The sequence below is a fragment of the Homo sapiens genome, chromosome 1 (genome assembly GCF_000001405.40).
Source record: "Homo sapiens chromosome 1, GRCh38.p14 Primary Assembly".
NCBI lineage: Eukaryota > Metazoa > Chordata > Mammalia > Primates > Hominidae > Homo > Homo sapiens.
Genome location: NC_000001.11, coordinates 12,525,070 through 12,537,338, shown reverse-complemented (window position 1 = coordinate 12,537,338; position 12,269 = coordinate 12,525,070). Strand labels below are relative to the sequence as shown.

The 12,269-nt window shown below is 46.3% G+C and overlaps 1 long non-coding RNA gene across 1 annotated transcript; it reads right to left on the bottom strand.

Moving 5' to 3' along the window:
* Positions 1 to 8,246: 8,246 nt before the first annotated feature.
* Positions 8,247 to 11,786, bottom strand: LINC02766 (long intergenic non-protein coding RNA 2766). Its single transcript, NR_187319.1, has 3 exons — positions 11,712 to 11,786; positions 9,547 to 9,894; positions 8,247 to 9,289 (listed from the first exon to the last, which is right to left on the bottom strand). It is a non-coding gene; the product is annotated as a long intergenic non-protein coding RNA 2766 (long non-coding RNA).
* Positions 11,787 to 12,269: the final 483 nt, after the last annotated feature.

Genomic DNA, 12,269 nt, shown 5'->3' with positions numbered 1-12,269 from the left:
CTCCAACATTTGGAGGCCAGGAAGATGAGAACAAAGAATAACGAGTGAAGTAGGAGGAAAATGAAGGAATTGGGTATTCTGGAAACAAAGTAAAAAAAAAAAAACTTTCAAGAAGGAGAGAGTGGCTGGGCACGGTGGCTCACGCCTGTAATCCCAGCACTTTGGGAGGCCAAGGTGGGCAGATCACGAGGCCAGGAGATCGAGACCATCCTGGCTAACATGGTGAAAACCCAACTCTACTAAAAGTACAAAAAATTAGCCGGGCGTGGTGGCACGCACCTGTGGTTCCAGCTACTCAGGAGGCTGAGGCAGGAGAATCACCTGAACCCAGGAGGCAGAGGTTGCAGTGAGCCAAGATTGTGCCACTGCACTCCAGCCTGGGTGACAGAATGAGACTCCATCTCAAAAAAAAAAAAAAAAAGAAGGAGAGAGAGTGCTCAATCATGACAAATACAGCTTTTATTCAGATTAGATAAGGCCTTATCATGAAGATTAGAGTTTGAAATATGAATGTCATTGATTATCTGGAAAGGGTGAGGTTGTGGGGATGAAAGCTTAATTGGCAAGGGCTCAGAGAAAAGGAGAAATTTCTGGTTCTATCCATGGCAGAGTAGTTGGTACTGGACAAATCTGTCACAAATAACTGCAAAAATGGTCAAAATATATGAAACAATTATTAGGCATTAGACTGCAGGCATTGCCATGCTACAATCCTTTAAAAAGGGAAACACAAAAGGCTGAACTACACATCCCCCTTGACTTTCTGCCTTGGGGTAATTTTCAAACTGTGGTACCAGGAAGAGGATTACAAGCAGAGAGTCACAGTCTCTCTGGGTAGAGAAAAGGAAGCTCAGGGTTCAGGGCAGCAAAAACAGCTAGAATTTGTGGGCAGGTTACCAAAAAGGAGGGAACCACAGAGAAATCCAGAAAGGCTACCATTCAGAAGTAAAGATCATACCTTAAGAGTAAGGGCTTCCTCCTAAAACTGTGACTAAAACTGAAATAGAACCACCCTAACGAAGTCTAAAATCAATCTTTAACAAAATCAAGACAATCCACCAGTTAGTTAACTGCCAGAAAAAAATGTTTAACACTCTTCAGAGGATAGTATCATAACCCAGAGTTTCTACAATGAGGCACTCAAAATGTTTAGCATATAATAAAAAATTACTAGACAGGTAAAGAAGCAGGGAATATGAACCATTGACAAGAGAAGAAGAAAAAAGCAGTCAGTAGCAGCAAAGTCAATATAATCCAGATGTTGGAATTAGCAGACAAAGGCATTAAAATACATAAATATATTAAAGGATTTAGTGGAAAGGGAGACAAAACGTGAGCAGATGGGGAAATTCAACATAGAAATGAAAACCTTTAAAAATAATTTTGAAAATTACATATGTATTTATTTGTAGAGAGAAGGTCTCCCTATGTTACCCAGGCTGGTCTTGAGCTCCTGGTCTCAAGCAATCCTCCCAAAGTGCTAGGATAACAGGTGTAAGCCTCCGTGCTTGGCTGAAATGAAAATTTTTAAATGGAAATTCTAGAACTGAAAAATACAGAATCTGAAATAAAGAATTTTTTGGACGTGCTTAATAGCATATTAGACATGGCAGAATAAAGAATCTATGAACTCAAGACAAGTCAACAGAAATTATCAAAACTGAGGCACACAGAGAAAGAAAGAATAATCAAATAAGACACAACAAAGCATTCAAAAACGTGGGACAATATTAAATGAGCTAATATGCTTTTATTTGGAGTTGCAGAATGAAAGGGAGAGAAAATGGGACAAAGGAAATATTGGAAGAGGTAATGGCCACTTTCCAAAACGGATGAACTATAGCAACCCACGGATTCAAAAAGCTCAGCACATCCTAAACTGGATAAATACAGAAATACTACACCTAGACCATCATAGTCGAACTGCTAAAAACTAAGGACAAAGAAAGCATTCTTAAGAATCAGCTGGAGAAATATGGACACATCACATCCAAGAGAACAAAAATAAGAATTATGGCTGACTTCTGATCAGAAACTGTAGAAACCAAAGATAATAGAATGATATATTTAAAGTGCTGAAGGAATGTAGAATTCTTCATCCTGTGAAAATATCCTTCAAAACTCAAGGTAAAATAAAGACATTTTCAGGAGAACAAAAATTGAGATAGGCCAGGTGCCGTGCCTCATGCCTGTAATCCCAGCATTTTGGGAGGCCGTGGTGGGAGGATCACTTGGGCCCAGGAGTTCGAAACCAGACTGAGCAATAAAGTGAAACCTCGTCTTAACAAAGAATCTAAAAAATTAGCCAGGTGTGGTGACGCATGCCTGTAGTCCTAGCTATTCAGGAGGCTGAGGTGGGAGGATCGCTTTAGCCCTGGAGGTCGAGGCTGCAGTGAGTAGTGATTGCACTACTGCACTCCAGCCTGGGCAACAGAGCAAAACTCTGTCAAACACACACACACACACACACACACACACACACACACACACCAAACACTAAAGAATGTTCTTTAGGTGACCCAAATGGGCCAGGTGTGGTGGCTCAAGCCTGTAATCCCAGCACTTTGGGAGGCCGAGGCGGGTGGATCACAAGGTCAGGAGGTCGAGACCATCCTGGCTAACACAGTGAAACCCCATCTCTACTAAAAATACAAAAAATTAGCTGGGCGTGGTGGCAGGTGCCTGTAGTCCCAGCTACTCGGGAGGCTGAGGCAGGAGAATGGCGTGAACCTTGGAGGTGGAGCTTGCAGTGAGCCGAGACCATGCCACTGCACTCCAGCCTGAGCAACAGAGCGAGACTCCGTCTCAAAAAAAAAAAAAAAAAAAAAAGGTGACCCAAATGGAATCTTAGATTTTGGGGAAGGAATAAAAAACACCAGAAATGGTAAAAATAAGTAGATGTTTATAAAAATTTATTTAAGGCTGGGCACAGTGGCTCACGCGTATAATCCCAGCACTTTGGGAAGCCGAGGCTGGCGGGTCACCTGAGGTCAGGAGTTCAAGACCAGCCTGGCCAACATGGCAAAACTCCGTCTCTACTAAAAATACAAAAATTAGCCGGGTGTGGTGGCTCACGCCTGTAATCCCAGCCACTCAGGAGACTGAGGCAGGAGAATCGCTTGAACCCGGGAGGTAGAGGTTGCAGTGAGCCGAGATTGTACCATCGCACTCCAGCCTGGGTGACAGAGTGAGATTCCATCTCAAAAAAAACAAAAACAAAAACAAAAAACCTACCAACTAGTGAAAGCAAAAATAATAATGATGAATAGTGGTGTTTATAACAAAGGTAGAAATAAAATATAGGACAACAATTGCACAAAGAGAAGGAAAAGTGTAAATGAAACTATTCTGTTCAAAGTTTTTACATAATATGGGAAATTACATACTATCCATTCAAGGCAGTCTATGATAAATTAAAGATGAATATTGCAATCTCTAGAGCACACTAAACAAATAAACAAACAAGAAAGTTTAAACAAACAAACAACAAGGAAGTTTAAAAGTCAGTGGAGATAATAAGTGTCAGTGTAGGTTCACTGACTGTAAGAAACAAATCACAGTGTTATGGGATGTCAGTAGTGGGGGAAGTTGCGGGCGGGGAGGGACAGGGGCCATGTGAGAATTCTCTGTGCTTTCTACTCAATCTTGCTGTGAACCTGAAACTCCTCTCAAAAATGAAGTCTATTTTTAAAAAAAAAGCCAAGAGAGCACATAAAAGACAATTCTAAAATACACTTAATCCAAAATAAGAAAGAAAAGTAAAAAACAAAGAAACAAGGAACAGATGAAACAAATACAAGGCATACAGAAAAATGGTAGACTTAAACCCATGTACAATTACATTAAACATAAATGGACTACAAGTGAAAAACAGAGAATATCACATGGGGTACAAGAATGAGACCCAATAATACGCTCCTCTCTAAGAATATGAACACCAAAATTAAGAAAGTAAAAAGAATGGGGAAAAAAGGTATGGCATATAAACACTAATCAAAGAATGCTTATGTGGCTATATTAGTATCAGACAAAGAGTACTTCAGGACAAATAATATTACCAGAAATAAAGAAGACCATTTCATAACAAAAAAATCAATTCATCAAGAAGGCATAATCTAAATGTACATGAACCCAGCTTCAATACATGAAGCAGGCTGGGCGCCCTGGCTCATGCCTGTAATCCCAATACTTTGGGAGGCCAAGGCATGAGAATCACTTGAACCCAGGATTTTGAGAACAGCCTGGGCAACACAGCAAAACCCTGTTTCTATAAAAAATACGAAAATTAGACAAGCACGGTGGCATGTGCCTGTAGTCCCAGCTACTCGGGAGGCTGAAGTGGGAGGATCGTTTGAGCCCAAGAGGCAGAGGTTGCAGTGAGTTGAGATTGTGCCACTACACTCCAGCCTGGGCAAGAGAGCCAGACCCTGCCTGTGATGGTTAATATTGCGTGTCAACTTGATCGATTGGATTGAAGGATGCAAAATATTGTTCCTGAGCGTGTCTGTGAGGGTGTTGCCAGAGGAAATTAACATTTGAGTTAGTGGACTGGAAGAGGCAGACCCACCCTCAATCTGGGTGGGCACCATCTAATCAGCTGCCACTGCGGCTAGGATAAAAGCAGGCAGAGGAACGTGGAAGAACCAGACTGGCTGAGTTTTCCAGCCTTCATCTTTCTCCCGTGCTGGATGCTTCCTGCCCTTGAACATTGGACTACAAGTTCTTCAGCTTTTGGACTCTTGGACTTATACCAGTGGTTTGACAGGGACTCTCGGGCCATTGGCCACAGACAGAAGGCTACACTGTCGGCTTCCCTACTTTTGAGGTTTGGGGACTCGGACTGGCCTCCTTGCTCCTCGGCTTGTAGACGGCCTATTGTGGAACTTCGCCTTCGTGTGAGTCAATACTGCTTAATAAATTCGCCTTCATATATACATCTATCCTATGAGTTGTGTCCCTCTAGAGAACCTTGACTAATACATTGTCTCAAAAAAAAAAAAAAATACAGGAAGCCAAAACTGACAGAACTCAAAGAAGAAATCAAGAACTCCACCATCATAACTGGAAATTCTGACACTCCTCTCAGAGGTATTGACAGAACAAGCATACGTAACAAATCAATAGCAATATAGAGGGTTTGCAACAGAGACTATGAGAAGAGAAGGCGGAGAGAGAAACTTCAATCTTTTGAGAAATTATATTTTTAAAGAGAGCCAGGCTGGGCGCAGTGGCTCACGCCTGTAATCCCAGCACTTTGGGAGGCCACGGCGGGCGGATCACCTGAGGTCAGGAGTTTAAACCGGCCTGACCAACATGGCAAAACCCTGTCTCTACTAAAAATAACAAAAGTTGGCTGGGCGTTGTGGTGTGTGCCTGTAATCCCAGCTACTGGGGAGGCTGAGGCAGGGGAATTGCTTGAACCTGGGGGGCGGAGGCTGCAGCGAGCTGAGATCGCGCTACTGTGCTCCAGCCTGGGAGACAGAGCAAGACTCAGTCTCAAAAAAATAAATAAGTGAAAATAATAAAAATAAAGACAGCAAAGAATTGAGCAGTGGCTGGATTGGGCTACAGGATCAAGGGTGGATAAGAGGCGAGAAGTAACAGTGTGTTTGTGTGCTGGTGGGGCTACCCAGGAGGGGTGGGTCCAGGAGGGATCCAGGAGTAGTGGGATCTGGTGATCGGGGACAGTGAGTGGACAGCTTTAGATACAGTGTCTTTCAGTAGGCAAGAGAGGATGGGATGCTGGGCCTAGGCAGGAGAGTCAGCCTGAAGGGGAGCTGTGTTCATGTGTCAGGGGGACAGAGCTGGAGAAGGGGACTCTTCCCCAAGGTGGTGACAGCCTGAGCCTCTGGGCCCTGCCCTGTGGCCAGGCCTCCAGAGAATGGGGCAGCTTGGGCAGGATTCTCCCCAGTCTCTGAGACTCCTGTGCCCCTGTTCTTCTCCAGGTCTTTGTCTCAAGATAATTCAAGTTAATCATGGGAAGCTATCCCATGATAAGAGGCTAGAACAAGAGTGCTGCTGTATAATTTTTCTATTTTTTTTTTTTTTAACATTTAGGGATTTGTTTCAGCCTTTAAAATAAGCAGATAAGGATTGAAAACACAGATAAGGATAAAAAAACAGATAAGAGGCTGAGCACGGTGGCTCATGCCTGTAATCCCAGCACTTTGGGAAGCCAAGGCAGGCAGATCACTTGAGGTCAGGAGTTCAAGACCAGCCTGGCCAACCTGGTGAAACCCTGTCTCCACTAAAAATACAAAAATTAGCCGGGTGTGGTGGCGCGACCCTATAGTTCCCAGCTACTTGGGAGGCTGAGGAGGAGAATCACTTGAACCCGGGAGACGGAGGCTGCAGTGAGCTGAGATTGCACCACACTGCACTCCAGCCTGGGGAACAGAGTGAGACTCCATCTCAATAAAACAAACAAACCAGAAAAGATTTTTAAAACATAGTTCACGGAAAAGGAAATGGCTCTTAAACATAATTTCCCACAAGAGAAGTAAGTATACATTCAAACTACGCTGAAATACCCATTTTCTCCAAATTGGCAAAGTTCAGAAAATTTGCTAACAGATTGCATTGGTAGGGGTGTGGGTAAGTGCACTCTCATTCATTGCCGGTGGCTGTGTAAATTGGTACAAACCTTATGGAAGGCAACTTAGCAATATTTATCAAAATTACAGGTGCACAAAGGATTGGGCAATTTCTCCTCTAGGACTTTTTAACTTATCAGAAAAATCAAGTATACACAAGGTGATTCGTGGCAGCCTTGTAACAGCAAGAAGATTGGGAAGGCTGGAAACAACTTAAGTGACTATGGGTGGGGGACTGGCGGAATAAATACGGTATTTCTATACAATGGAAATCATGTTGTAATCCAAGAAAACAGAAATGTTCTTTATGCGGCTGCTTACAACTCACCGATCCCAACCAGTTAACAGATTTCTTTGCTCCTTCTCCACTCCCACCGCTTCACTTGACAAGCCTTTAAAAATAAAAAATAAAAGAAAGGTCATGTGCTGATAAGGAATGATCTCCAAGACAAAGTGAAAAATGCAAGGAAGTACTAAGCTAGAATCTTTGTAAAAAATAAAAAGAGAGGCTGGGTGTGGTGGCTCACGCCTGTAATCCCAGCACTTTGGGAGGCCAAGGCGGGCAGATCATTTGAGGCCAGGAGTTCGGGACCAGCCTGGCCAACATAGTGAAACTCTGTCTCTACTAAAAATACAAAAAATAAAATTAGCCAGGCATGGTGGCACACACCTGTAATCCCAGCTACTTGGGGGGCTGAGCTAGGAGAATCGCTTGAACCCGGGAGGTGGAGGTTGCAGTGAGCCAAGATTGGGCCACTGCACTACAGTCTGGGTGACAGAGCAAGACTCCATCAAAAAAAAAGAAAAAAGAAAAGAAAAAAGAGGGGTGGAGAGTAAATATACAGGTATATATGTAATTGCCAACACACATACATATAATTTGACAAATTGTATTTTAAAGAAAGCAAAGAATTGAGCAGTGGCTGGATTGGGGTACAAGATCAAGGGTGGATTGAGAATTGAGATGAGAAAAATAACAGTGTGTTTGTGTGCTGGGTTGAGGGGCTGCCCAGGAAGGGTGGACCCAGGAAGGATGGGATCTGGCCTATTTTATATATATATAAATGTGTGTGTGTGTGTGTGTCTTCCTGGAAAAAAATACACAAGAAACCAGGGTGGGGAACTGGGTAGTTGAATGACAGAGTGGGCGGGAGGAGAGAGATAAGGCAAGCTAAGTAGAAACAAACACAGACGGTAAGAGATAGCATTTAACAAACAGCACTCCACACCGCCTACTTCCTGTTCCCTTCCCAATACTACTACCTCTCCTCTTCCAGATAGACGCGTTTCAGGAATTCCACCTATAAAGTCTGAAGGGCATTTAAACTCCACTCAGTAATTTGACCATCAACTAGGCTAAGTGGGCAAGAGGTGTGCTGGGGTGAGAGCCCCTGGGCACACGGGTATGTTTTTTCTGCTTGAGATGGAGATGGAATTACCAGCTCAGGAGACAGTTTACAACCAATGATGCCTCATTCCTGTTTTCAGTCTGTTGGCATTTTAAAAATATTATACATTTTTACTTTCAAACACTAAGAGCCACCGACACTGTCTTTGGTCATTTGTGAGAACGCTGTTGATATGATAACTAGATTAACAGAAAAAAGCTGAGGGTCAAATGTGAGCTGATGAAAAGTTGACAGGATGTCTCCCTTCCCCTAATACCTCCGCTTTTATTAACATCATGGATGTCATCTTCTTTTTTTTTTTTTTTGAGACGGAGTCTCGCTCTGTCACCCAGGCTGCAGTCCAGTGGAGCAGTCTCGGCTCACTACAACCTCCGCCTCCCAGGTTCAAGCCATTCTCCTGCCTCAGCCTCCCAGGTAGCTGGGATTATAAGTGTGAGCCACCACGCCTGGCTAATTTTTGTATTTTGAGTAGAGACGGAGTTTCACCATGTTGGCCAGGCTGATCTTGAACTCCTGACCTCGTGGTCCACCCAAAGTGATCACTCCTGACCTTGCCCTCTCAAAATGCTGGGATTACAGGCGTGAGTCACCGCGCCCAGCAGATGTCATTTTCTAAAATAAGACAATGGTTGAAGTGTGTGGCCGCTAACTCCTGTGCTGAGCGCACTGGGATGGACCGGTGGGGGAAGCCTTTGCTCAGCCCTGGACCACCAAGGTCTCTGCCGGGCTGCTCTCCCCTCGGCCTGCTTGCGTGTGCAAGTCCACGGGCACACGTCCTGCCTTCATGTCTTGGACTTTAAACACCCTGGGCAGCTGGCCAGGCCTTGGTTTTGTTTGCAGAGTTGCCTAATCTAATATTGGTATTTAGCAAACAAAGCCCAAACAAGGGAGAAGTAGGCCCCTCTTGCCTCTTCTGAGCTTCCAGGGCTCTCCAGTGGACCCAAGAAGCACCGTGAGATGCCCCACAGTTTCATGGCCAAATAAAGAAACTTGAGTCAACCTTCTCTGTGGTTAACAGGGAATCCTCAGAGCGGGTGTTTTGGGTCCAGGCCACCCCATGCAAGGAATCCTGCTAGGAGAAAATGGGTCACTCCTAGTGGGGCTGGCCTGGGGCAGACTGTGGGGTGAAGAGGGCTGGCCATGTGCCCCTGACGCCCCTTCCTCAGATGCCCGCTGCTCCCCCGCATCGTAGAGCCCGTGGGTCTTGCATTCTTGCGGCGGCAGCTCCCCCGTCTTCTCACAGCTCCTGGCTCCCTCCTGTCATCCAGATGTGTGTTCCACGGAGCTCTAAAATTAAACAGATGCATCTGATAGCGACCTGCCCTTCACCCAGCAAGACACTCCCGAAGCACCAAAGCCCGTAGGTGGGCATCATCATGGTGGCCATTTGGGCCATGGTTGGAGATCCTGGAGGGCCTGGAGCAGAGGGGCCTTCCCTTCCCACAGGGCTCCGACCAAACCCGCGTCCCCTGGCATGGCTGGTTCAGTTCCAACCCTTGTGCCCTTTGAGATCACCTCCAGCCCGCGCTGGAAAGTCCACTCACCCGCCCTCCTGAGGAGCTCATGCGTATCCCAGGCTGCCACAGATGGTGACGCTGGGGAAGAAAGGCAGGTCATGGGCTTGGGCCACAGCTGCTTCTCGTGGACTGGACGGAGCAGGTGACGTGTCGGCCAGGAAGGAGGAAGGAGGCCCTCTCGGCCACGGACAGGCTCCAGGCTCCTCACATCAGGACCCAGGCCCTGCCCTCCCCGAGGGCCCAGGATCCAGACGCTTCCAAAAGTGCTCTCCTTGCATTTCCTGACCCGCCTCTACCGTGCTGTCCAATCTGACAGCCACCAGCTACAGCGGCGATGGAGGCGATGGAAATGCGCCTATTTGGAGTTGAGCTGTTCTGTAAGTGTGAAACAGGCACCACATTTCAAAGATTTAGTGCAAAATCACAACATAAAGCATCTCATTAACAATGTTTTCTAATGATTATACATTACATGATAATGTCTTGGACATATTGTCTTTAATTATTAAAATTAACTTTCCATTTCTTTTTCCTTCTTAAAAAATGGGTCACCTAGAAAATTTTATTTTTATTTCTTTTTATATTTATTTATTTATTTATTTATTATTTTTTGAGATGGAGTTTCACTCTGTCACCCAGGCTAGAGTGCAATGGCGCAATCTCGGCTCACTGCAACCTCCGCCTCCCAGGTTCAAGCAATTCTCCTGCCTCAGCCTCCCGAGTAGCTGGGATTACAGGTGTGTGCCACCACACCTGACTAATTTTTCTATTTTTAGTAGAGACGGGGTTTCACCATGTTGGTGAGGCTGGTCTCAAACTCCTGACCTCATGATCTGCCAGCCTCAGCCTCCCAAAGTGCTGGGGTTACAGGCGTGAGCCACCATGCCCAGCCTATTTATTTTTATTTTTTAGTGACAGGGTCTTGCTCTGTTGCCGAGGCTGGAGTGCAGTGGTTCGATCTCAGCTCACTGCAGCCTCTACCTCCTGGGCTCAAGAAGCCTCAGCCTCCCTAGTAGCTGGGACTACAGACATGTGCCACGATGCCCAGCTCATTTTTTTTTTTTAATTTTTAAAATAGAGACAAGTTCTCACTATGTTTCCCCAGCTGGTCTTGAACTCCTGAGCTCAAGCAATCCTCCCGCCTCAGCCTCCCAAAGTACTGGGATTATAGGTGTCAGCCACTGCTCCCAGCCTAGACAATTTTAAATTACATGTGTGACTTGCATTGTTTCTTTGTTTTTCTTTTTGGATACAGAGTCTTGCTCTGTTGCCCCGGCTGGAGTGCAGTGGCACCATCTCACTCACTGCAACGTCCTGGGATTACAGGCATGCATCGCCATGCCCAGCTCATTTTTATATTTTTAGTAAAGATAGAGATGGTGTTTCGCCATGTTGGCCAGGCTGATCTCAAACTCCTGGCCTCAAGGGATCCGCCTGCCTCGGCCTCCCAAAGTGCTGGGATTCCAGGAGCCCGGGTGACTTGCATTATTTCTATGGGACAGCGCTGGTCCACTTGGTAACGGTGGAAGCCATATTTCTCAGAATCCACTTCCTGTAGGTCTCAGGGCAGAGTTGTCAAGAGGGAAGGCACCCGTGATTTGAGAGGCAAAGGTGAGGCTGGCCTTGCTGACCAACACTGACCCCAGGCCGACCCCAGGCCCACCCCAGACCCACCCCAGACCCTTTGCTGCAAACTCACAGAAGACACCTCCCAAAGACGCCCACCCCAGCCCCCTCGGCAGTCCTCCTTGCCCTCCACCCCCGCCACAGCTGGGTGAGGCCTGACTCCTAGAATACATCCTTTATTCCACGACAGACCTCATGGTTCTGGCTCCCTGTTGAACCCCGTCTGATCCCCACCTCTCCTGGGCCTCTGGAGGCCGCATCCAACACAGCTGAGAAGGTGAAGGTTAAGGTCTCAAAATACAGCCGGCCGCAGCTCAACAGCAAGAGGCCTCCTGCCCAGGCCTCTAGGGTTCCATTTCCTCTCCTTCTGCCCACCACCCCTGGCTATTCTCTCTCCCCTTCACTACCCACTTCCCCTCCTCTCCTCCCTGTCTGCTGGCTCCTTCCTTCCAGTCCACAAGCAGCTCAACTCCCTGCTGCTTTTAAAACACCAACATGGCAAAAACCAAAACCACCCTCCCTCCCACAGTCAAATTTTAAAGATACATCTACACTCCCTTCTTCACCTTTGGATCCTATTTCAACACCAGGGACTGGCTTCTGGCCCACATCCCAGAGCCGCCAGGGACAAGGCCACCAGTGGCCTCATTTCCCAATCCCCGGCCTCTTTTCAGTCTTGCTCCACATGACCTCAGAGCAGAGGTGGTCACTAGTCCCTCCTCCTCTGCCCTTTTCCCCATGACACCCCCTTTGTCATCCCCATCACTGACCCTTCCTGGATCCTCCTCCCCTGGCAGTTCTTACGTTGACATTTCCCAGGGTGCTGGCCTTAGACCCCTCATTTTATGCCCCCTCTGGGTAAGGCATTCACGCCAGGACTTATTTAAACTACTGTCTCCCCCGTCTCTACTAAAAACACAAAAATTAGCCAGGCGTGGTGGCACATTTCTGTAGTCGCAGCTACTCAGGAGGCTGAGGCAGGAGAATCGCTTGAACCTGGGAGGCAGAAGTTGCAGTGAGCTGAGATCGCAGCACTGCACTCCAGACTGGGCAGCAGAGTGAGACTCTGTCTCCAAAAAATAAACAAACAAACAAACTAACAAACTACTGTCTCCAAAAGAATG